Consider the following 24,580-nt stretch of genomic DNA (forward strand, 5'->3'; position numbering starts at 1 on the left):
CAGCCTGCCATTCTTCATGTTGACATGAAAACCTGAAGGAAACGTAGTTCAGTGGACTTGTTTCTCATTGGGGCTTTGTGGTCCTATGTCATGCTAAATCATATTTAGTCAAAATTGCCCGTGAAATCCCTTGACTTGCTCATAAAGTAAAGTTTAGTCAGACTGCCCTTATTAAGAGCCCGTTTTCCTTCCAGAGTTGGAATAGATTTCTGTGTTTTGGATGAGGACCACATGAAGTAGTTGGCTTGTATTTAGAAGCTGTGTTGTACAAAAACTCTATTTCTTAGATCCCACTGAAGGGGCTCACACTGGAAGAGGCGTGTGGGAATGCGCACAGTTGAGAGCACAGTAGATTTGTGTTTTCCATCTCACTCCCTGTACAGCATATGTTCACAAAGTAAGACTGGTGGCTCGAGCTGCCTGTATGAAATGTCAACTGTCATCTTTCTCTGTTCTCCATGTTCGTGTGTGCTCGCTCGCTCTCTCTGCTGGATGTGTACAGTTGAATTTCTGGGTATAATGTGACTCCTCTATACTAATAAGGAATTCCTTTACTCAGACCTGTGTTTAAATATTTGTGATTGTTTGAAAAAACCTTTTATACTGTGTGTGTTGTGAGTGAGATTGTGCTCATTCCATCCTTTTTTTTTTTTTTTTTTTTTTTTGAGGTGGAGTCTCACTCTTTCACCAGGCTGGAGTGCAGTGGCATGATCTTGGCTCACTGCAACCTCCGCCTCCCGGGTTCAAGCGGTTCTCCTGCCTCAGTTTCCCAAGTAGCTGGGACTACAGGTGCGTGCCACCATGCCCAGCTAATTTTTGTATTTTTAGTAGAGACAGGGTTTTACCATGTTGGCCAGGATGGTCTCCATCTCTTGACCTTGTGATCCGCCCACCTCAGCCTCCCAAAGTGCTGGGATTACAGGCGTGAACCACTGCACCCGGCCCCATCCTACCATTTATTGAGCACCTGTTCTTTACTACTGACTGGGTATTTTATATAATTATTTGTAAGCCTTAAAATAGTATTGCAAGGTGGGTAACATTTCCTTTTAGAGATGAGGGAGTGTAGGTAGACAGTAGTTATTTTTTGGTCAAGAGAGCATACTTGATAGAGCCTGTCTCTGAGCTTAATTGCATCTGTGTTGCTTGTTAATTCTTAGGAACTTTCATTCTATTGTTTACTCTATAGGAGTTTAATCAAAGGCCTACAAACCTAAACTACAGCAAGTCTATTCTGTAACGTAGTTTTTTTTTTTTTTTTTTTTTTTGGAGACAGAGTCTCACTCTGTTGCCCAGGCTGGAATGCAGTGGTGTCATCTCAGCTCCCTGCAACCTCCACCCCTCAGGTTCAAGTGATTCTTGTGCTTTAGCCTCCTGGGTGGCTGGGATTACAGGCATGTGCCACCACACCTGGATAATTTTTGTATTTTATAATTTTGTAGAGATGGGGTTTCGCCCTGTTGGCCAGGCTGGTCTCGAACTCCTGACCTCAGGTGATCTACCCGCTTCAGCCTCCCAAGGTGCTGGGATTACAGGTGTGAGCCACCGTTCCTGGCCTGTAATGTAGTTTTGAATTAAAAAGAGTTAATATAGTCTTAATATTGTGGATTCATATGCAAATGTTTGGTGAAGCTGAAAGTCACTAAAAGGAAGACTCTAAGAAGGTAAGAGAGATCGTTGGACCTACTTAAGCTACTTTTAACCTTTTCTAACCCATTGGAATACCTAAAATCCTTTCCCTTCTTGGATGTTATTTGCAATTGCAGAATAAATTAAATGTTACATCTGAAACCAAATCAATTTTAGATTGTGCTCCCGCAGCCACCAATACTGGTCCTCAGGTGGTAAAGATGACACAAGGAGTGAAGGTGATGATGGCTGCACTAATTATGGAAGCCAGTATGTATTGAACATCCTTTGTATGCTAGGCACTAGTGAGTCCTTTACATGAATCATCACATTTAATCTTTCAGTTAATCCTATGAGATAGATTATTTGACTATCCTTATCTTATAGATGAGGAAACTGAAGCCATGGATATGTTAACTAATGTACCCGCAGTCAGAGCCGGGAAGTGGGGGACGGGGGAGTTCAGCCGCTGCAGCCCGACTTTGAGTCCCATAATCCCTCATTTTGTCCCACAGAGCAATATCAAGTTGACTTTTCCAAGATCTTGTAGCTATTTAGTTCTAATCCTTTCGTTTTATAGAATTGTTTGGCTTCTTCATCTGATTTTAAAATGTTGTAACAAAGTTAATCTAATTTTGCATTATGATTTTTTAAAAAGTGGCAGACACTCATTTCTTAGGAAAGTAGTTTTGATTCCTTTTTTTAAAAAAAGTTTTCTCCTACGTGTATTTTGATAGTTTTGATTCTTTTTTTATTTATTTATTTTTTATTTTTTTTTTTGAGACGGAGTCTCGCTCTGTCGCCCAGGCTGGAGTGCAGTGGCGCGATCTCCGCTCACTGCAAGCTCCGCCTCCCGGGTTCACGCCATTCTCCTGCCGTAGCCTCCCGCGTAGCTAGGACTACAGGCGCCCACCACCATGCCGGGCTAGTTTTTTATATTTTTAGTAGAGACGGAGTTTCACCGTGTTAGCCAGGATGGTCTTGATCTCCTGATCTCCTGACCTCGTGATCCGCCCGCCTTGGTGTCCCAAGGTGCTAGGATTACAGGGGTGAGCCACCGCACCTGGCCTTGTTTTTTTTTTTTTTTGAGATGGAGTCTCACTCTGTTACCCAGGCTGGAGTGCAATGACGTGATCTCAGCTCACTGCAACCTCCACCTCCCGGGTTCAAGCGATTCTCCTGCCTCAGCCTCCTGTGTAGCTGTGATTACAGGCATGCGCCACCATGCCTGGCTAATTTTGTATTCTTAGTAGAGACAGGGTTTCACCATGTTGGTTAGGCTGGTCTCCAACTCCCGACCTCAGGTGATCCGCCTGCCTCAGCCTCCCAAAGTGCTTGGATTACAGGCGTGAGCCACGGCGCCCAGCTTAAAACAATTTATTGAGGTTTAATTTATGTATTACAATATAAACTGCACCCATTTGAAGTGCATAATTCAATGAGTTTTTGACAAGTGTATGCTGGTGAAACTACCTCCAAAATCAAGACACGGCACATTTCTATCACCCCATAAGTAGCTTGAGAGAGTATTTTTTTGTTTGTTTGTTTTGTTTTGTTTTTTTGAGATGGAGTCTCACTCTGTCGCCCAGGCTGGAGTGCAGTGGCGTGATCTCGGCTCACTGCAAGCTCCACCTCCCAAGTTCACGCTGTTCTCCTGCCTTAGCCTCCTGAGTAGCTGGGACTACAGGCACCCGTCACCACGCCCAGCCAATTTTTTGTATTTTTAGTAGAGATGGGCTTTCACCGTGTTGGCCAGGATGGTCTCGATCTCCTGACCTCATGATCCGCCCGCCTCAGCCTCCCAAAGTGCTGGGATTACGGACGTGAGCCATCGCGCCCGGCCCGATAGTTTTGATTCTTAATGACTATTAGTATGTGGACTATGGATAGTGAAAAAACTATATTAAAAATAGAAATTTTGTACCTGTGTGTAACTTGAGCATTAAGCCTGACTTTTATATTCAGGGCAAGGGAGAAAGAATGTATTAAACACAGAGCACATTCATTAAAGAACCTACTCTTGTTTCATAATCAGTTTGGTGTTCACATCTTCATCAGGTGAACTGCTATAAGGTTTCTGCATTTTAAGTTAGTATTTTTAAGGCCTAGAGCCAGAAATAATTATGCTAACACAACTGTCTGAATTCACAAATGACTATTTCATAATTACGTATATTAGTACTCCATATATGTTGTCCAGACTGAAAATTGTTTTGTTTAGTCATTAATTAGCTGTTTGACTTAAAATATAACTACTGCATTCCCTAGTCTCTGGATCTAGATTTCACTTGGCATTCTTCCAAAGCCAAACTAATGCAGCACCATGAACCTTTTATAATGAAAATGTTCTCCCTAAATATGTTCAAATCACTTTTGTGTGTTACTATTTTTGAACTAATGTTCTTTTTTTGTTTTTCCTGTAATACACAGTTTCTCTAGAGTAAGCAAACAAAATAGAATTCTAGTTTGTACTGATCCTTAAAGAAAGTTTCATCAGATGTTTTTAGTTGGTGGTAGCTTTAGAGTGTCATATTAAATGCATTTTTTAATGGTAAAAATGTCTATGTAGAGAGCAGTATAGGTTGATACATTCTAAGCCACACCAAAGCGTCTGCAGGAGAAAAAACAAAACAAAACTTGAGTAATAATTATAATGCTTTTTATAGGAGGAAACTTACTCTTTAAAAATCTTGAGTACTTTTTCCCCCTAACTTTTTATATTTAGGTAAGAAAAATGGCCTTTAACACTGTAAGAATTATTAAATAATAATTAATTTCAACTGTTTTTAACATCAAGCCACCTTATTTTTTTTTATTTTTTTTTTTTGAGACAGAGTCTCATTCTGTCACCCAGACTGGAGTGCAGTGGCACAATCTTGGCTCACTGCAACCTCCACCTCCTGGGCTGAAGCAATCCTCCCATGTCAGCTTCTGAAGTAGCTGGGATTATAGGTGCTCGCCACCACGGACCTGGCTAATTTTTTGTAGAGACAGGGTTTCACCATGTTGCCAAGGCCCATCCAAACAACTGAGCTCAAGCAATCTGCTTGCCTTGGCCCCTCAAAGTGCTGGGATTACAGGTGTGAGCCACTGTGCCTGGTTACCTTACCTTTTAAAAAATTTATTTAGTCTTTTTTTGGTGTCGATACATAATCTTGAGTGTTTCTTGTGTTTTTAATTTTTTTTCCTTTGTGTAACTTTGTGTTAGGTTTAGGGCTGTAATTTTTCAGTGATTGGTTTTTCTAGTGTATTTATATGTTATCTCTTTGAAATATAGACACACATTTTGGGGGGATCATTTAAGACTCTTCAGACTTCCTAAATGTGAGCTAAGCTGAAAAGCACCAGTACTCTAATCATAAAGGCAGGTGAGATATTTCAGTTTTGATGGCGTGGAAAGTCAGTTAACCTTTAGGTAGGGCTTGGTTTTGTTTAGCTTTTGGCAGGGCTAGTGGTTTGAACGGTCCCAGATTATTTTGTTCCAGGCAGGGCTTTTCTGATTAAATTGCAAAAATGAAAATGCATATAAACAACACAGAGAGCCAAGTTTTAAGAGTGACATTATGTGATTTTTGAACACAGTATATAGTACGAAGTTTCAAATTAAAAGTGATACTTGTGTAGCAGTTAGGTTAAATATAGTTCCTCTGTTTGCTTTGCTAGTGTGAAGTGAGATACATGATACTGAAATACAGGTAGGCACAAGCCTGGAGATCAGGCAGCCTGTGTCAAGTGTGCAGTGCCTCAGCAGCAGCAGCAGCAGCAGCACTCCACAGGATATATTGAAAAGCTGGGGCGGAATGTCCTCCCACACAGGTGAGGGGAGACAGGTGAAGGCAGGTTTGACACTGAGGAATAGTAAGAGAAGTAAATTGCACCCTCAGAGTACAGCAATATTTATAGCATTTGAATAAGATGTTAAAGAACATTTTCTTTTAAGGAAGAAATTCCTGTGGGTCTTCCTCAGTTTCAATCTAAACTAGTTTTATTATACTATTACTTCAGCATGTGGCACTTAACCTGGCCATAGTCAGTGTTCAATAAATATTTGTTGGATGAATTAACGTAAAAACACAAAAAACTCAGTATAAAATTAATTCTTGGAGTTCTTTTGCAAATATAAAACTCAGATATATGCATTACATAAAAAGAAAATACAAAACTAATAAAGTTTTATATTAACAGGGTTAGTTAAATGCAATAGATGATGTTTTGCCAAAACTAAATTGTCTCGCAACATGAGTATCATACTGACTGTTCTCAAGCAGGTTCTTTTGAATTTGGCATGCGGTACTATCTTGTGTCCTGCAATTATTTTATACTGAGAAGCTGTTTTTTACATATCAAGCATTTGTATAAGTCTGTCATTAAGCCTTGGCACAAATACATCATTTAGTTTTAAATTCACTTCTGGTTTTTCTCATTAGCCCAAGAAAAATTTAAATGACACTACTGGGTACTAGGGGAAACGTAACCACAAATCACAAACTTGAGCAATGAGTTTGTGTGTTAGAACATACTCGGTTCAGGTGTTACTTTTTCAGATTATACATTAAATTAAGATGCAAAGTTAAAAATTTTATATGGACTTACAGCCCCTTGATAATACTTCCACAGAGCCGCAGTTGAGAAACACTGCTCTCTTGGAAAGGGTGCAGAGCTGGTGTCAGAAGCAGATTCGAGTCTTGGCTCTGCCGCTACTCAGCTGAGTGTTGGGTAAGGCACTTAACCTACTTGGCCTCTCTTGGGTCTTAGGTGATGGCGCTTGGTGACCTTTGAAGATTTGTCTTTGAAGATTATTGTTGCTTTTGAAGGTTTTCTTTAGGAATGTTGGACTTTCCAGGGAGGCTTGGGTCCAGCTTCGGAGTTTATTTGATTAATTTTTTTTTTTTTTTTACTGTTAATCATCTTTTTACTTACTTTTAAGTTGTACAATTCAGTAGTTGTTTATTTTTATTTATAAATTTAAAAATTTATTTTTTAATTTTTATTTTATTTTTTGTTTTTTTTTTTAAAACCAGAACATTTACTGCATGACTAATTGTTGAAATTCTTAAGCTGATCAAAGTGCTCCAACAGCTGCCCTCTTTGGTTTAGGTGTTGTTTCCTCACGGAGTCCATGCCTGAATCTGTGGTGTACAATTTTTAGGTGCCTCGTTCGGCCAGTCCTGGTGGCATTTTGTCTTTTAGCCTTGGCACTCCAGTTATACGTCCTCCTGCACTTGGCGGGGTAGCCACATTTGCCACAGGTCAACTTCTGAAGGTGGTAGGCCTTCACGCCACAGCGGTGGCACAATGTGTGTGTCCTATTGCAACACTTTCCAAACGGTCATCTCACTTCTGTGGCTGAGACCAGAGAGACCTTTTTAATTTTTTTTTTTGAGACAGAGTCGTGCTCTGTTGTCCTGGCTGGAGTGTAGTGGCGCAATCATAACTTACCGCAGCCTCGACCTTCCGGGCTCAAGCTATCCTCCCACCTCAGCCTTCTGAGTAGCTGGGTCTATAGGCGTGTGCCACGCCCAGCTAATTTATACATTGTTTTTGGAGATGGAATCTCGCTCGCCATGTTGCCCAGGCTGGTCTTGAACTCCTGGGCTCAAGCAGTCTTCCTGCCTCAGCCTCCCAAAGTGCTGGGATTATGGGTGGGAGCTCCCGCCCACACTCGGCCAATTCAGTAGTTTTTAATACATCTACAAAGTTGTGTAGCCATCGCCACTACCTAAGTTCAGAACATTTTTCATCACCCCGCAGCCTTCTGGACTGAGTGGAGTCAGCATGCTCAGGGGTTGGCAGCATCTGTTCAGGGGGCTCGAGGTTCTTCTTTGGTGTCTTTTCAAGTTTCTATACCTGTCCAGTACTGAAGCTGGAATTGGAGATTGACCTTTTGTCCAAGTCATAACTTAATATGCTATTTCCTGAAACTGCTTTTAAGAAATGTTAAGGTGCAAATGAGGATCCAGTTTGGGCCCACATTTTTCTAAGTTGGATGAAGAGCAGTTGAGTGGAGTTTCTAGTTGCACTCGAGACTCTGTACTGTGCAGACAGTTTATTGGTGGAGTTGCCTCAGGATAAAAATACCCAGCTCTTCTCAGTAGTGGGTGGGAGACTTTGGGTGATGGTGATTTCCGTAAAGGAGAAGCTGAGCCTGGTTGGAAGGAAAAAGGAAGAATATACGGAGAGGCTGGCATTCTTTAGCTGAGTGGATTTAGGCTTGAGCTGGAGTCAGAATCACCTGGGAGGCTTGTTCAAACACAGATTGCTGGGCCCCATCCCCAGAGTTTCTGTTCCAGTAGGTCCTGGGTGGGGCCTGAGGATGTGCATTTCTAACAAGTGCCCAGGTGAAAGCTCACTTAGAGGAAGAATCTCAGCCTCCTGGAAGTGTGTTCTAATTAACTTCACTGGACTGTAGGCTCAGCTTTGCCATCCCCATACCACTCATGCATGTTTTGGTGTGCTTTGGCTACATAGGTTACAGTTGAGCTTTCTAGAGCTTTTTTCTCATGTCTTTAGCTAGTAGGCACCTAAAAGTTGTAGAATGCATAGGTTTTATTTTTGGCATTTATCTGAAGTATCTGTTCATGTCTTGACATATAGGAAGCTCTTTTAAAGTTTGGGTGGCAGTGGAGAGGGCATATAGAAGCATATTCTAATTTTTCAATGTTTTTTGAAAGGGTAGCATGAACAATAGTCTCCCCACTCCTTCTTCATATCCGTTTGGCTCAAGTAGCTGAAAACAGCAGAACCTTAAAGCTGAGTGTCACAGTCTGCCTGCCTACCTGCCTGTCTACCTGTCTACCTGCCTATCCAGCTACCTGCCTACCCACCTTCAAGTCTTTTCGAATACTGCCTACCCCAGGTTTCTGATGATAAATTCTGTTATCTTGGTAATTATGAAGTTATTTTGAAGGTTTTAAAAGAAGCTCCTAAAAAATAACCTAAGTTTTACAGTATTAGTGCTTTTAGAAAGCTGGAAAAGCAAGTGAAGAAACAACAAAAAGAAATCCTTTCTAGATGGATGAGAAACCACAGATGGGTTGGGGTGAATGCGATGAAATAGAAATGTGTGTTTGGGAGAGTGTTTTCTCTGTAAGGAAGAATATTCTCTGTAAGGAAGGCAGGCTATGTGGCTTTCATGAGGTCTTCTTAGAAGCTTCTGTGGTAATGTTCACTGGTCTGGCGAAGGGGGTAGACTTGAAAAAATTGTAAAATGGCGAGAACCTGGAATTTACATTTGGGGAGAAAAGAAACTGGGAGGCCCTTCAGCTCTGGGGAATTGGACAAGGTGAAGCAGAGTCCACATGTGTGTGTATGTGTGTGTATGTGTGTGTGCATGTGCGCGTATGTGCATGCATGTGCACTCATCCAGGTGGGGCGTCTGCGGTAGCACCGAGGTGGATTCTGAGGCAAGCTTCATTTGGCCCTGAGTTCATTTTATTGTGACTCCAAAGGAGTTCATGGGGGAAATAAAGGCTCTCATGTGCAAGAAACAAGGAAGCAGAAAAGTCATTTGACCTAGGCTAGAAAAGGCGGCCACCTCTAGTCTATAGTCAGAAGAGAAGCAGCTGTTCAGAGGGGCTGAGACAGGTAATGCTGGTCCCAGGCCAAGCCTCTTGAGGAAAGAGAACAACATTCCGAAATTCTGTGAGTAGCTCATACCCTGAAGGAGTTCTTTTTTTTTTTTTTTTGAGATGGAGTCTCTGTTGCATAGGCTGGAGTGCAGTGGCGCAATCTCGGCTCACTGCAATCTCCGCTCACTGCAATCTCCGCCACCCGGGTTCATGCCATTCTCCTGCCTCAGCCTCCCAAGCAGCTGGGACTACAGGCACGCGCCACCATACCCGGCTAATTTTTTTGTATTTTTTTAGTAGAGATGGGGTTTCACTGTGTTAGCCAGGATGGGCTCGATCTCCTGACCTCGTGATCCACCCGCCTCGGCCTCCCAAAGTGCTGGGATTACAGGCGTGAGCCACCGTGCCTGGCAGGAGTTCCCTTTTAAGATCGCTGTAGGAAGAGTCAGAAGGTCAAGGACAAGGCGCCGAGGTGCCTACCCTCTTAGTACTTTGTGTTGGGGAGTGGAGGCTGTCCAGAGAGGCTGGCCAAGGGGAGGCTCCCCCTGGGAAGATGGGGATCTTTTTTAGGTGGTGCTGCAAAGGGACACTTTTTCAGAGAGACAAGGGGAAAACACTCGCATATATTTACTTCTTTAGAAGTTGAGAAAGTTAAAAGAATGGGAAGATGCCATCTGCTTCCCATTTCTGAGAAAGGGTACATTAAAATAGCTTGAAATTAAGCAGAATGTATAAAATTAACGTCTGAGTATAGTCATTTCCCGTTTTTCCTGACACATCTTTCAGCTGTGTAGCAACAGATCCGCATTCCTGGTGTCAGAAGACAGTTGTTAATGTGCTAGTTAAAATTTTATTTTATTTTTGTACTGTTGAGCAAAATTTAGACTTAACTCTGTTTTATTTAAGAAGCATTTTTGTTAAATGCTTTAATTATTATTAATCAAATTTTTTTGTATTTAAGCAGTTTTCAACAATCTATTCCTCAAGCAATTCAGAGAACCTGCTGTGTGGTGATTATGTATTTTTTATTTCATAAATGGGGGTAGTGAGGCATAAGTGTTTTGGAATTAGCATTTGTCATCATCTAATATACTGTGTAAATTACATCTTTTCACTGTGTATTGTCTGGCTGCCACTGCTAGACTCTTAAGTTCCAGGTGGACAGGGATCTTATGCCAGGTGGACATGGCATACATGTATGTATGGCAGGCACTGTTCTAAGTATATACAATAGTCCCTGGAGTGTCCAGGGACTGTTCATTGAATGAATGAGTAAAGACTTCTGTCAACAAATATCATTTAGTCTAGTGCTCAAGTGGGCTGTAATACTCTGTTTCTGAATTAAACAGTCTGGCTTGGTGATAGTCACTGACAGCACCAAGCAGATCCATGGGAGCTACCCCAGAAAAGCTTGTGATGCAGAGGAGAGGAGCAAAATGTGCGCTCCCTGTGTGCAAATGGATTCCCACAACCACGGAAGGAAGAACTGCGGCAGACATGCTTGGTTCTTAATCTCAGACTCATCAGTCAGGGAATTCACTCCTGTCTAAGGGGCGAGTGAGGGTGAGGCAGGAAGCCAGCATGTCCCCTGTGAAGGAGCTCTTTCCAGGTAGAAGCATGAAGCCCAGGAAAGGCAATTTATACAGCACATCACCAATAGAGAGATGGCCAAACCACTCTGAACTCTACCATCTGAAGTGAACAATTTCTAATTATGTATCTTCAGATTTTTTTCTTTCAGATTTCTTTCTGATATATGTATCTACAGATATTTCTCTGTGCCGGTGTGGGCATTTTTTCTATATTTATTAACCCAGAATAGGTTTACTGTACATGTAGTTCTATAACCTGGCTTTTCTCTTAATATGTTATATATCTGTTAGGCATTTTTTGACAGTGATCCACAGCATCATGTTTGTTTCTTGATTGACTGAGACAGATTCTCTCTCTGTCACCCAGGCTGGAGTGCAATGGTGCGATTATAGCTCACTGCAGCTTCAAATTCCTGGACCCAAGAGATCCTCCTGCCTCAGCCTCCTGAATGGTTAGGACTACAGGCATGGGACACCATGCCTGGCAACGTTTTTTATTTTTTGTGGAGACAGGATCTTGCTGTCTTGCCCAGGCTGGTCTTGAATTCCTGGCCTCAAATGATCCTCTTGCCTCAGCCTCCCAAAGTGCTGGGATTACAGGTGTGAGCCATCGTGCTCAGCCAACATTATGTTTATCGACTGTTTATTAATGTTCCATTTAATTTTGGCTGGGTATGGTGGCTCACGCCTGTAATCTCAGCACTTTGGGAGGCTGAGGCGGGCAGATCACAAGGTCGGGAGATCGATACCATCCTGGCTAACATGGTGAAACCCTGTTCCTACTAAAAATACAATAAATTAGCTGGGCATGGTGGCATGTGCCTGTAATCCCAGCTACTCGGGAGGCTGAGGCAGGAGAATCACTTGAACCCGGGAGGCAGAGGTTGCAGTGAGTCGAGATCGTGCCACTGCACTCCAGCCTGGGCGACAGAGCGAGACTCTCTTAAAAAAACAAAAAACAAAAAACAAAAAACCCCCCCAAAATTCCATTTAATTTAATGCCATCATTTATGCATTCAGCAATATTTTTGAGGGCCTACTATGTGCCAGGCACTAGTTGGAGTTGCTGAGGGTATAAGATGAGGTTCCAATTCTCATGGAGCTTATCGTTTAGAGGGAAAACAATACAAAAGTAAACAAGTAGGTGAGGATTTCTGAGTGTGCTAAGAACAAAGTAGAGCAGGGTACTGAGGTGTGAGCACATCAGTAGATTTCGTAGGAAAGGCCTTTCTTAGGAAGTTATATTTGAGCTGAGAACTGAATGATAAAGGAAAGCCAGCTACTTGAGTATCTGGGGGAGGAATATTCTAGGCAAAGGTAATAGCCTGTGCAAAGGCCCTGAGGCAGGAATGTGCTTGCTTTGAGGAAATGTGAAAAAAAAAGTTGTTGATTGGAACAGTGTGGGGATCTGGCAGATGAGCTGGGTGAGGTAGGTAAGGGCTAGATCTTGTTGTGCCAAGTAGGCATAAAGAGTTGAGATTTTGGGTCGGGCACAGTGGCTCACGCCTGTAATCCCAGTACTCTGGGAGGCCGAGGTGGGCAGATCACCTGAGGTCAGGAGTTCAAGACCAGCGTGACCAACATGATGAAACCCCATCTCTACTAAAAATACAAAATTAGCCGGGCGTGGTGGCACATGCCTGTAATCCCAGCTACTCGGAGGCTGAGGCAGGAGAATTGCTTGAACCTGGGAGGCAGAGGTTGCAGTGAGTCGAGATCGTGCCATTGCACTCCAGCCTGGGCAACAAGAGCGGAACACCGTCTCAAAAAAAAAAGAGTTGAGATTTTGTTTTAAGGGCAACATGAAGTTATTGGAGGATGAGCTATTAGGAAGTGAGCAACATAATATGAAGCTTTATGTTCAAAGGCTTTCTTGGCTACTGTGTGGCAGTCAGGGGAAGCAGAGAGACCAGTTAAGAGTCTGTTGCGATAACTGGTGATCTTGGTAAGAAATGACGGTGGGGGTGGAGGGAGTGAGAAGTGGATGTATTTCAGAGGTGGAGCTGTCAATTCATGGGATTGGATGTAGGGGGTAAAGGAAAGGAGAAATTTTGTGGCCTCAGCTACTGCGTTGGTGCTGGGGCTCGTCAGTGAGACAAGGAAGTGGAGATTAAGAGTGTTCTTCTGGGATGTCCTGGTTGTGAGATGTCTGTTAGACACCAGAGTGATGATGTTGAATAGGCAACTTCCATAAGTCTGGGGAGAGGTCCTGTCTGGAGATAAAAATTGGAGAGCCGTCAATGCGCAGGTGACATTTAAAGCCATAGACTAGGTGAGATCACCTGGGATGCAGAAGATAGATGGAGAAAGGGAGACTAAGCCCCGAGCAGTGCAGGAGGAGCCAGCACAGGAGGCTGCAGGGGAGCCAGGGAGGCAGTGCTGAGGCAGGCAGGTGTGAAGTGGAAGCCAGGAGAAGGACATGTTTTAAGGAGGGTGCGTCACTTTTATGTTTGCTACTGTAACCAGTTATCACAAATTTAGTGGCTTAAAACAACACAGATTTCTTAACTGTTCTGTAGGTCAGTCATCTGACATGGGTCTCACTGGGTTGCCATCAGGGTGCCAGCAGGGCCATGTTCTTTATGGAGGCCCTAGAGAGGAATCTGTTTCCTTGTTTGTTCCACCTTCTAGAGTCTGCTTAATGTTCCTTGGCTTGTGGCTCCCTCCTTCATCCTTGATGCCAGCGACGTAGAGTCTTTGTGACCCTGCTCTCTTCTCATTCACTCACCCTGACCTCTTCTGCCTCTTTCTTCCACTTTTAAGGACCCTTTTAATTACGCCGAGTCCACCTGGATAATCCAGGATAATTTTCCTATTTTAAGGTCAGCTGATTAACAACCTAAATTCTATCTTCAGCCTTAATTCCCCTTTGCCTTGTGATGTTATTTATTTACAGGTTCTGGGGATTAGGGTGTGTATATCTTTGGGGTTCCTGTTCTTCCTTTCACAGAGGGTATCACAAAGGTTACTGGGAAGTTGGATAAAATGAGGACGGAGAAGTCATTGTTGGATTTGGTCAACTGATTAGTAACCTCAATGGGTGGTTCCAGTGGAGTGTTGGTGCGGTGGCCCAATGGGAGTGAGTTGAAGAGCCAGCGAGGTGAGGACGTGGAGGCTACACATCTTAATGGTTCTTGGTGGCAGTTTTGCTTTGAAGGAAAGTAAATAGTGGCAAGAATTACAAAGGAAAAGCACAGAGGACAGCTCTGAGAGGATGAAATGGGAGACGGAATGTGGAACAGAGGTTCAGGGACGACTGCTGGAAGGAAGGGGCATTAGTGTAGTGTCTACTGGAAGAGATTAACTGGATGAAGAACCTGGAGTGAAACCAAGAAATGGTTTATAGGGATGGGGACATATGAAAGTGAAATTCACAGGGTTATTTTTAATAGAACAGCAGAAGGTACTGATGACTCCTGTTGCTTGCGCCTGGGTCAGTGGACAGGATCCTTGTCAGCAGCCACTACAGGGCCCGCAAGCCCACCTCAGATGCTGTCATTCCACGGGTGGTGGCCAAATCTTTGAAGTCAGTGTAGAACCTCTGCCCTTTCTTCCTGGGGAGCCTGGATCAGCCATGATCTTGCCCAGACTCAGCGCCATGGTGGAGGGACATCTCCTTTCCTCTCCTGCCCCCCAACCACTTCCCTTACACTTCTGCTCTTCTCTCCTCACCCGCTAAATTGTAGGCCTGCCTCCATTTCTTTCTTTACTTTGTTACGTTTTAATAACATTTATTCACTCCACAACATGCTCACAGAGGTGGAAGACCAAGTTAGTGCAGACCCATTCATTCCTGGACCCAGTGGCTCTCAAGTGGGAGAGGTGCTGGTCTTAAAGGGTGTTTAGGAACAAGTGGGCGTCATAGTGAGTGTAAAAACGCCCTCGCCGTGAGGCTCAGAAGAGCCAGGCCTCCTCCTGCTCCTAGTCCAGTCAGTGCTCCTCCTTCATATGGGTGGTTCGCAGCCCTGCTGCATGTTAGACTCACCAGGACAGATTTGTAAACATATCACGACCTGGGCCCTACCACAAACTAATTCAACTGGAGTCTCAGGGATAGGGCCCAAACTGAGGATTTTAAAAAGCTCCCTAGGAGATTCTGAAGTGCAGCCAGGGCTAAGAACTACAGCCTTAAATCTACTGTTGACTGCTTTCAAAAGAAGTCTTCACTGTGCTTAAACAAATTGTGGTTAAAAGTAAGCAAAAGGGCCAGGCGTGGCGGCTCATACCTGTAAATCCCAGCACTTTGGGAGGCCGAGGCAGGTGGATCACCTGAGGTCAGGAGTTCGAGACCAGCCTGGCCAACATGGTGAAACCACGTCTCTATTAAAAATACAAGAAAATTAGCTGGGCATGGTGGTGCATGCCTGTAATCCCAGCTACTCGGGAGGCCAAGGCAGGAGAATTGCTTGAACCCGGGAGGTGGAGGTTGCAGTGAGCTGAGGTCGTGCCATTGCACTCCAGCCTGGGTGACAAGAGCAAGTCTCCATCTCAAAAAAAAAAAAGAAGGAAGCAAAAGGAAATCTGGAGGGGAACATTTGTAATAGGCAAGTGGTCATTATTAAATGTACAGTTATATTATTAAAATGTAGATCATTTGAATCAACTGACACGTCTGAATTTGGATTAAAACTCCTAAGCAGTATACGGTACTCAAAGCTTGGTACTGGTAGGGCACAGTTTGTTCATTTCTGTTTTTCACGTTGCCTTCTTTACACTTTTTTCCTTTCTGAATAGCCTAATATGACGAAGCAGCTATTTGTAACATGTGGGAATTATTTTTTCTTCTTTTCCTCCCATAGTCTGTCTCCATCTTTGAGCTGCTGTTCTTTCTACAGCTTAAGGTTCTTAGATGTCCATTCCATTCCCTACCCAGTCTTGGAACACTGTGAGATGAGCATTCCTGATAAGTGGTCATCCAATTTGGAAAGACAGTATTTTACAAGGTGATCAGTTTCTGAGGAATTTCAGTTAGAAAACTTTGTGTTTTTGGTTTGGTCAGGGAAAGATCCAGAAAAGTGATCAAGAGGTTAGCTCAAACCTGATATAGGGAGTTCTCAGAATAGAGATTGGCTGTTAATGGTCTCTTATAATTTTTTCCTTGAGGATAGTTTTATTAGTATGAGAGTAACTTAACCATCCTCATTGTGCAGTTCTTCCGCCTCAGTCTCCCAGGTAGCTGGGATTACAGGCACGCACCACCATGCCCTGCTAATTTTAGTATTTTTAGTAGAGGCAGGGTTTCACCATGTTGGCCAGGCTGGTCTCAAAGTCCTGATCTCAGGTGATCCACCTGCCTCAGCTTCCCAAAGTGCTGGGATTATAGGCATGAGCCACTGCGCCCGGCCCCAAACTTTTTTATAATTCTCTATGACATTGACATACTCCCACAACAGCTTCAGTATAATTTAGATGCCCTTATACATCTGCGTGGCCAAATTAAAAAAGACACCATCAGGTGTCAGCAAGAAACAGAGCAGGGGGAGCTTTCATGTACTGCTGATGGGAATCTACATTAGTTTAACCACTTTGGGAAACTAGAATTATCTATGAGAGTGGAAGATTTGCACACCATAAAGCCCAGCAGTTCTACTCCTTATGTATATTCTTGACAGACTGTATAGCTGTGAAAACTAATGAATTGATGAATATTCAAGAAGTGAGTAACTCTCACAAACATAATGTTGAGAGAAAGAAACCAGACACTCAGAATATATATTGTTTGATTCTGTATACAGGTTCAAAACAAAGGCAAAATTAATTTATGGTGTTGCAAGTCAGGAGATGTAGTTACCTTTGGAGAGTAGGGAGGATATATTAGCAGGGCTTCTGGGGTGTTGGTAATGTTCTTTCTTGATGACAGGTGTGATACACATGCACACATACACACAAATATATTTACAATTTGTGCTGTTTCCTGTTTGTATATAATATTTTAATAAAAAGTTCACTGAAATGGGGCTGGGCACAGTGGCTCGCGCCAGTAATCCCAGCACTTTGGGAGGCTGAGGCAGGCAGATGCTGGAGCCCAGGAGTTCAAGACCAGCCTGGGCAACATGACAAAACCATTGCATTACAAAAAAAAAAAAAAAAAAAATGCAAAAATTAGCCCAGCATAGAGGTGCGTGCCTGTAGTCCCAGCTACTTGGGAGCCTGAGGTGGGAGAATTGCTTGGGCCTGGGAGGTGGAGGTTGTGGTGAGCTGAGATTGTGCCACTACACTCCAGCTTGGGTGACAGAGTGAGAGAGACCCTGTGTCCAAAAAAAAAAAAAAAAAAAAAAAAGTTTACTGAAATGGTATATGGTGTAGAGTAGATTATTGAACAGCAGTGAGAAATGAGCAAAATACAGCTACATGCAGCACCATAGAAGAAGATTCTCACAGAATACATACGATCAGATTCTAGTTTTCTAAAGTTCAAAGAGTCAATGCTAAGCTATTGTTTAAGGACACATAAGTAACTCGTGGATATCAGTCAGGATTCAGTCAGGGAAGCAGAACCACTGTATTATGTAATAAGGGATTTATTTTTTATAGCAATAAGATATTTTACAACTGTGGGGAAAAGCTGGAAAAATGACAGTCTGGAAGGAAGAATTAGAGGACCAGAGAAGAGCCACGAAAGCACCTCTCCTGAAGCACCTGTACGGGTGGCTGAGTTAGAACTTGTGGGAGGCTCTGAGAAGCCAGGCATGAGCAGCTGCTAGAACGGGACCACAAAGGAAAGCTGATGAAAAAGTCTATGAAAAGCTATTACCTCTGCATAGCAATCACTTCTCTAGGTCTGCTGGCCAGCAGCTGATGGTCCAGGGGCTTCTGTTCGCTGACAAGGCCGGCAGTTGGGGGAAAAAGCTAGTGACAGAAGCAGCACGTGGACAAGCTGGAACCCTCTGGCATCTCCGTTTATATCTGCTACCACCTCTAACTACCTCGGCCCTCAGGAAGTAATGGTGGTTTTACTTTTCGCTTTTTAAATCTTGTCCAGATTCAGGGAAGGGAATCCTGAGAAAATTCTAGCCTAACCAAATTGAGTTAAAAGCTGCAATAGTGATGGTTGCACAACTCTGTGCATATATTAAAAAATATACTTTAAGTGAGTGGACTTTATGATTTGTGAATTATATCTCAATAAAGCTGTTATTTACTTAAACAAAACTGCCACATGTTGAAAACTTTAAAGAAACAATGTTACCATGGATGATTTAAGTGCTGCTTCTTGGAGATATGGAAGTTTCAGTTTAGTAATTGCTTCTTAGCAGGTTGTATCTATGTTACTCTACACTGCTATTCTTTGGAAAGCTAGAGCGTAGTAACTAAGATCTGTTTGTTAATGACAGACCTCAAGGTCTCCTGACAGGTCTGGGAATAAGTTTTGAAAATAGGTTAATGGGATATTGTATTAGTCCGTTCTCATGCTCCTAGTAAAGACATACCTGAGACTGGATAATTTATAAAGGAAAGAGGTTTAATGGACTCACAATTCCACATGGCTGGGGAGGCCTCACAATCATGGCAGAAGGCAAAGGAGAAGCAAAGGCATGTCATACATGGCAGACGAGAGAATGTGCAGGGGAACTCCCGTTTATAAAACCATCAGATCTCTTGAGACTCATTCACTACCATGAGAACAATATGGGGGAAACAGTCCCCATGATTCAATTATCTCCACCTGGCCCCGCCCTTGACACATGGGAATTATTACAGTTCAAGGTGAGATTTGGGTGGGGACACAGCCAAACCATATAAGATACATTTTCTCACTTTTCACCATGTATATTTGGTTTTAAAATTTGAACTAGGATTTCTTTACTTATACTTAAAAGTAGGTTTTACAGATTCATTAAAACTTTCATATCAAATCTGTTTTGATAATCTGAGATATTCTCATCATCTCAAACTATTGGAAAATGCCCTTATCTACTCTCCATTTACGTGGAGCCACTTTTCATTTGAATGTTTGTTATGGCTCTTTTTATTCTCTTTATAAGGAGACAATTGCCCAAATAAAGATATGCAGCTTTCCTGCCTGGGGCTGTAGTTGTACCATAGTAAGGAAATGGATATGAAGGTTTTTTAAAAAGTTCAAAAACAGAGTAGCTTGTATCATTTATATGCAAAAACTAGAAACATTTTTAGCTGTAGTTACGAAGACTTCTAGCTTTTTGTCAACTTTTTAACTAAAAGGAGTCCCAAAACACAGGTTATTTCTACATGGATTAAATTTATAATAATAAAGAATCATTAGTATTACTAAACCATATTGACAGAATTCTTGCTAAAACTAGGCTAGACAGACAAGGATGGATACTGAAGGTTGACACTGAAGACCTAGTTGGGAAGAGGATTCAGAGGAGCTTGGCTAGAGTTTGGTCAAGGAGACACTCTTGGTCAGTATGTAAGTCTGGCTAATTGGAAGTAAATAAAAGGCAGCCATAGTCTTGGAGGGAAGACAGACATAAAAAATGATTGCAATATGGTATAAAAGGTATAATAGAATTATAAAGTATGTGTGTATAAGATGTATCTGCGGCAAAAAGGAGCAGTGATGGTCTGCTTGAGCACATGAAGGATGGATTTTTTTTTTTTTTTGGAGACGGAATCTTGCTCTATCTCCCAGGCTGGAGTGCAGTGGCGCCATCTTGGCTCACTGCAACCTCTGCCTCCTGGGTTCAAGCTGTTCTTTTGCCTCAGCCTACCGAGTAGCTGGGATTATAGGCTTGTGCCACTGCGCCTGGCTTATTTTTCTACTTTTTAGTAGAGATGGGGTTTTGCTGTGTTGGTCAGGCATGTCTCGAACTCCTGGCCTCAAGTGAAGGATGGATTTTTTTTTTAAAAATGACACTAAAGCTGTATTTTGAAGATGATTAGAAAGTTTGCTAGGCAGACAAAGAGAATCAGCAAGAAAACTTTCTGGGCTGAAGGTACTACGTTTAGTCAAACTATTAATACTTCCTTTCCTGTGCAAAGGAACGGAAGAAGGAAGTAGTTTGAGTTGCTTGGATAATTCGCTATGGCTAGTTTAGGGTTTAAGGAGAGAGATGGATGAGTTAAGGTTAGAGAGTAGCAGCTAGATCATAGAAGGCTATGTATGCCACGTTGCGTTTAAATTTTGTTTTTTTTTTTTTGAGACAGAGTCTTACCCTGTCACCCAAGCTGGAGTGCAGTGGTGTGATTTCGGCTGACTGCAACCTCTGCCTCCTGGGTTCAAGCAATTCTTCCTGCCTCAGCCTCCCTAGTAGCTGGGATTACAGGCATGCACTGCCACCCCCAGCTAACTTTTTTTTTTTTTTGAGATGGAGTCCCCCTCTGTCACCCAGGCTGGAGTACAGTGGCGGGATCTCTGCTCACTGCAACCTCCGTCTCCCGGGTTCAAGTGATTCTTCTGTCTCAGCCTCCTGAGTAGCTGGGATTACAGGCACGCATGTGGCACCCAGCTAATTTTTTTTTTTTTTTGTATTTTTAGTAGAGACGGGGTTTCAGCATGTTGGTCAGGCTGGTCTTGAACTCCTGACCTCGTAATCTGCCTGCCTCAGCCTCCCAAAGTGCTGGGATTACAGGTATGAGCCTCCGCGCCTGGCCTAAGATTTTTATTTCTAGTAGAAAAAGAGTTTCACCATAGTGACCAGGCTGGTCTCAAACTCTTGACCACAGGTGATCCACCCACCTCACCAGTGTGCCAGGATTACAGGCATGAGCCACCACACCAGCCTGGGTTTACATTTTAACAGATTTTTTTGTTGTTGTTTTCTTTGAAGGTCTCACTCTGTCTCCCAGCTTGATCATAGCTCACCATAGACTTCAACTCCTTGGCCTCAAACAATCCTCTCATACCTCAGCCTCCAGCGTGGCTGAGACCACAGGGGTGCACCACCATATCTGGCTAATAGTTTTATTTTTATTTTGTAAAGACAGAGTCTCCCTACATTTCCCCGGCCTTGAACTCCTAGTCTCAAGTGGTCCTCCCGTTTCGTCCTCCCAAAGTATTGGGATTACAGGCATAAGCTACTGCATCTGGCCTTTTAGCACAGTTTAATCAGAAGAGGAAAATGAGCAGATTTTTATTTTATGCAGTTACCCTGTGGACCATGTAGAGAATGGTTTGGAAGAACGCTGGGAGTCTGGTGAGGAATCCATCCCAGAGGTAGTAACTAAGACCTGTTTTTAGACATTGGCAGTAGCGAAGGATCTGACTTGGGAGGTAGAGTTAGTAGCATTTATGTGACCTCTAAGACGTGATCCTGTCACACTTTTTCTCTACTCTGTTAGGTTCAGTACTTGAGGGCCTTTGAATTAAACTGACAGATGATAGATTAGCAAGAGAAAAGGTAGATTTTAATTTTGTAAATACTTAGGGGAGTTCACAAATAAATGTGACTGAAAAGAGTTGTTAGAATTTGGGGTTTATGCACCATCTTAATAGATGAAGAGGAGAGGGAGAAAGGGTACTTCCGGGAAAACAAAGAACTATTTGGAAAGATAAATGGGCTCATAGGAGAATAAATGGAAGCTGTATATTTTCGTGACATTTTCTGTTTGGTTGTCTTCTCATCTCAGATGATTAGAGTTGCCCCTGTGGGAAAGGGTTCATGACAATTGAGTTCTTTGAGTTCTTTTGGGAGGCTCTGCTTTTAGGCAGATAAGGGGTTTCAGGAACTCAAATGCCTTCAGCTCAAAATAATTTTTATGCTATAGTGGCTTATTCTGGATCCTTTCACGGTGAAGGAGAGGAGAAATTCCTGAGATTCTGGTTTGAGTGATGGTGGTACTGTAGATAATGAAATACATAAAGAAGAGCAGGTTTCAGGACATACTGTATTTTCATTTGTATGGTTGAGCTTGGAGCACCTGGGGAACATCTAGAGATCCTAGAAAGCAGTTGGATGTAGATTTGGGACCTAGAGAGAGCTCAAAGAAGCTGAGAGTACGGATAAAATTTTCCTTGGAGAGTAGGAGAATGAGAGAAGAAAGAGCTTCCAGAAATGAACTGAAGGAGGCTGGAAAATGAGAGAGGATGAAATGAGAGAGGGGACATAGAAAGGAAATTGAGCCTACAAAGGAGACTAAGAAGGAATAGTTGAAGATGAGGGGAGCTGGGAGAGTTACAGAAACCAAGGCAGGACATAGTAGCAAGGAGACTGAGCAATAGGGATCAGCAGTGCCAAGGTGCAGAGTAAAATTATAGAAGTGTTAAGGAAAAAAAAAATTATATATATATATATTTAGTATATGATAAAGGTACAGTTTTGAGGAGGAAATGGAGGGCTGTTTATTTAAATGGACATTTGGGACAATTGGCTTACCACTTAAAAAATATTAGGTTAGGCCGGATGTGGTGGCACATGCCTGTAATCCCAGCACTTTGGGAGGCTGAGGCAGGAGGATCACTTGAAGTCAGGAGTTCAAGACTGGCCTGGCCAACATGGCAAAACCCCGTCTCTACTAAAAATACAAAAATTAGCCAGATGTGGTGACGCATGCCTGTAATCCCAGCTACTTGGCAGGCTGAGGCACGAGAATCACTTGAACCTGGGAGGTGGAGGTTGCAATGAGCCGAGATCATGCAACTGCAATCCAACCTGGGCGACAGAGCAAGACTTTGTCTCAGAAAAAAAAAAAAAAAAAAAAGTTAGTTTAGGTCCCCACCTCATGCCTTATACCAAAATAAATCTAAAAATTAAATGTAGAAATTGAAAATAGTAAAAATATTAGGAGAAAACGTGGGTCAATACTTACTTTGTGTTCAAGTTAGGAAGGACCATACCCATTCTAATTATAACAGAAAGAAAAGACTAAGAAATTTTCATGTAAATCCAGCATGTCTGTGTGCTAAAAATATCATAAAATTAAAGTGTAAATGGCAAACTAGGAAAAGTATTTGCCATAGATTTGACAGGCAGAGGTTTAATATCCTTCATATCTAAATGATCTATCAAAAAAATGAATAACTGAAGGTTTCTGGTTAAGTAGGACTCATTGAAGATGTCTTTATCTTCCATCCTTCCAAAATTTTGATAAAATGACAGGAATTACAGAAGGGGTAGACCCACAAAGAGTGAAAAAGGGAGAGTAGGGAAGATTTTTCTGGTTGATGATAGACTAAGTTGTTGGGCCTTATTTCCTGCTGAGAGCAAGTCGAGATGATGGACAAAATTTAAAACAAAATTTATGTGAAGGAAATGGAGAGTTAACAAAATAGTGAAGATTTGTGGGTGTAAGAGGTGGGGCGTGGTGATGAGGTAGGGAAGCCCAAGATGTGAGACCAGCATTTGCAGTCATTTCTTTCCCAGAGGAATCTGCTCATTCCAGAAGAATTAGGCAGATGAGAAGCTGGACGGCTGAACAGAGTTTTTGTTAGACTCAGAGGGCGGAGGACAAAAATTGGAGTTTGGCTCAGATCAGGGAGCAGGAAAACTTCTTAGGCTTTGAGTAGGAGACCCAAAAGCCTATATCTTAGAGATAGTAGCTCCTAACAGGTATTGAAGTCCAGCTCCAGACCCTCTCAGTTCCTGGCTGGATCAAGGTGTTCTGGAAAGAAGCAAGTATAATTTCTTTCATTAATAGAAGAAGATAACATCACTCAGAACCTCAGATGAGCTCTATGTTTATTTACAATGTTTGGCACTCAGAAATCACCAGGCAGATGAGGATTTAAGACAATGTTACTGAACGCCAAGAGAAACAACAGACTATGGAAGTGGATCGACAGGGATCCAGATAGTGAAGTTATTAGAAAAGGGTAAGGTATGTAGTATGTTTACGGAGTTAAAAGATTAAGAATAGGGAAATTGGAACCACACCACCCCCTCCCCAGTAGAAAAACCAAATGTAAACTGTAGAGTTAAAGGACTGTAAATGAAATTAAGATGTCAGTTAATGGGTTTAGCAGTACATTAGTAATAAGTAGAAAACAAATGTTCAGAATGAAATATGGAAATAAAAATGGTCTGGACATACATTATAGAGTGAGTCTTAGGGATTCTGTGGAAAGGTCTAACCAACATGTAATTGAAATCCTAGTAGGAAAGGAAGGAGGAGTGCTGCAGAAGCAGTATTTGGAGTGATGATAGCTGAGAATTGTTCATAACAGGCAAAAGCCATCTCATCACAGATTTAAAAAATACTACCAGAAATCTAAGATAAGGAGAACATTTTAATAGTAACCAGAGGCCAGGTGCGGTGGCTCACTCCTGTGATCCCAGCTCTTTGGGAGACTGAGGCGGATGGATCACTTGAGGCCAGAAGTTTGAGATCAGCCTAGCCAATGTGGCAAAACCCCATCTCTACTAAAAATACAAAAATTAGCTGGGCATGATGGTTCATGCCTGTAATCCCAGCCACTTGGGAGGCTGAGGTGGGCAGATCAGTTGAGGCCGGGAGTTCGAGACCAGCCTGGCTGACATGGTGAAACCCTGTCTCTACTAAAAATACAAAAATTAGCCGGGCGTGGTGGTGCACGCCTGTAATTCCAGCCACTTGGGAGGCTGAGGCACGAGAATTGCTTGAACCCAGAAGGCAGATATTGCAGTGAGCCAAGATCCCACCAAAGTACTCCAGCCTAGGTGAGAGTGAGACTCTATCTCCAAAAAAAAAAAAAAAAAGTAACCAGAGAAAAACTACGTACTACATTGAAAAGAGCAGTGAGATTGACAGCTAATTTCTCAATAGATGTAATAGTGCATCCTTCTCAGAAGGCAATGAACTAATGTTTTAAAAATGTAAAAAAGAAGGTAAACAGCCAAACTAGAATGTTATACCCTTCAAAAGTGAGGACAAAATTATCACTTCTTTAGATCA

At 42.5% G+C, this 24,580-nt stretch overlaps 1 protein-coding gene, 1 long non-coding RNA gene and 1 pseudogene across 37 annotated transcripts in view; 2 read left to right on the plus strand and 1 right to left on the minus strand.

The window, feature by feature from the left end:
- Positions 1 to 24,580, plus strand: part of CAMTA1 (calmodulin binding transcription activator 1) — a 984,253-nt gene that overhangs the window by 42,192 nt on the left and 917,481 nt on the right. The window lies entirely within an intron of this gene.
- Positions 1,172 to 24,500, plus strand: LOC124903832 (uncharacterized). The gene is made up of 2 exons (XR_007065449.1): positions 1,172 to 1,899; positions 5,293 to 24,500. It is a non-coding gene; the product is annotated as an uncharacterized LOC124903832 (long non-coding RNA).
- Positions 6,637 to 6,992, minus strand: RPL37P9 (ribosomal protein L37 pseudogene 9; annotated as a pseudogene).

The sequence above is a fragment of the Homo sapiens genome, chromosome 1, assembly GCF_000001405.40.
Source record: "Homo sapiens chromosome 1, GRCh38.p14 Primary Assembly".
Lineage (NCBI taxonomy): Eukaryota > Metazoa > Chordata > Mammalia > Primates > Hominidae > Homo > Homo sapiens.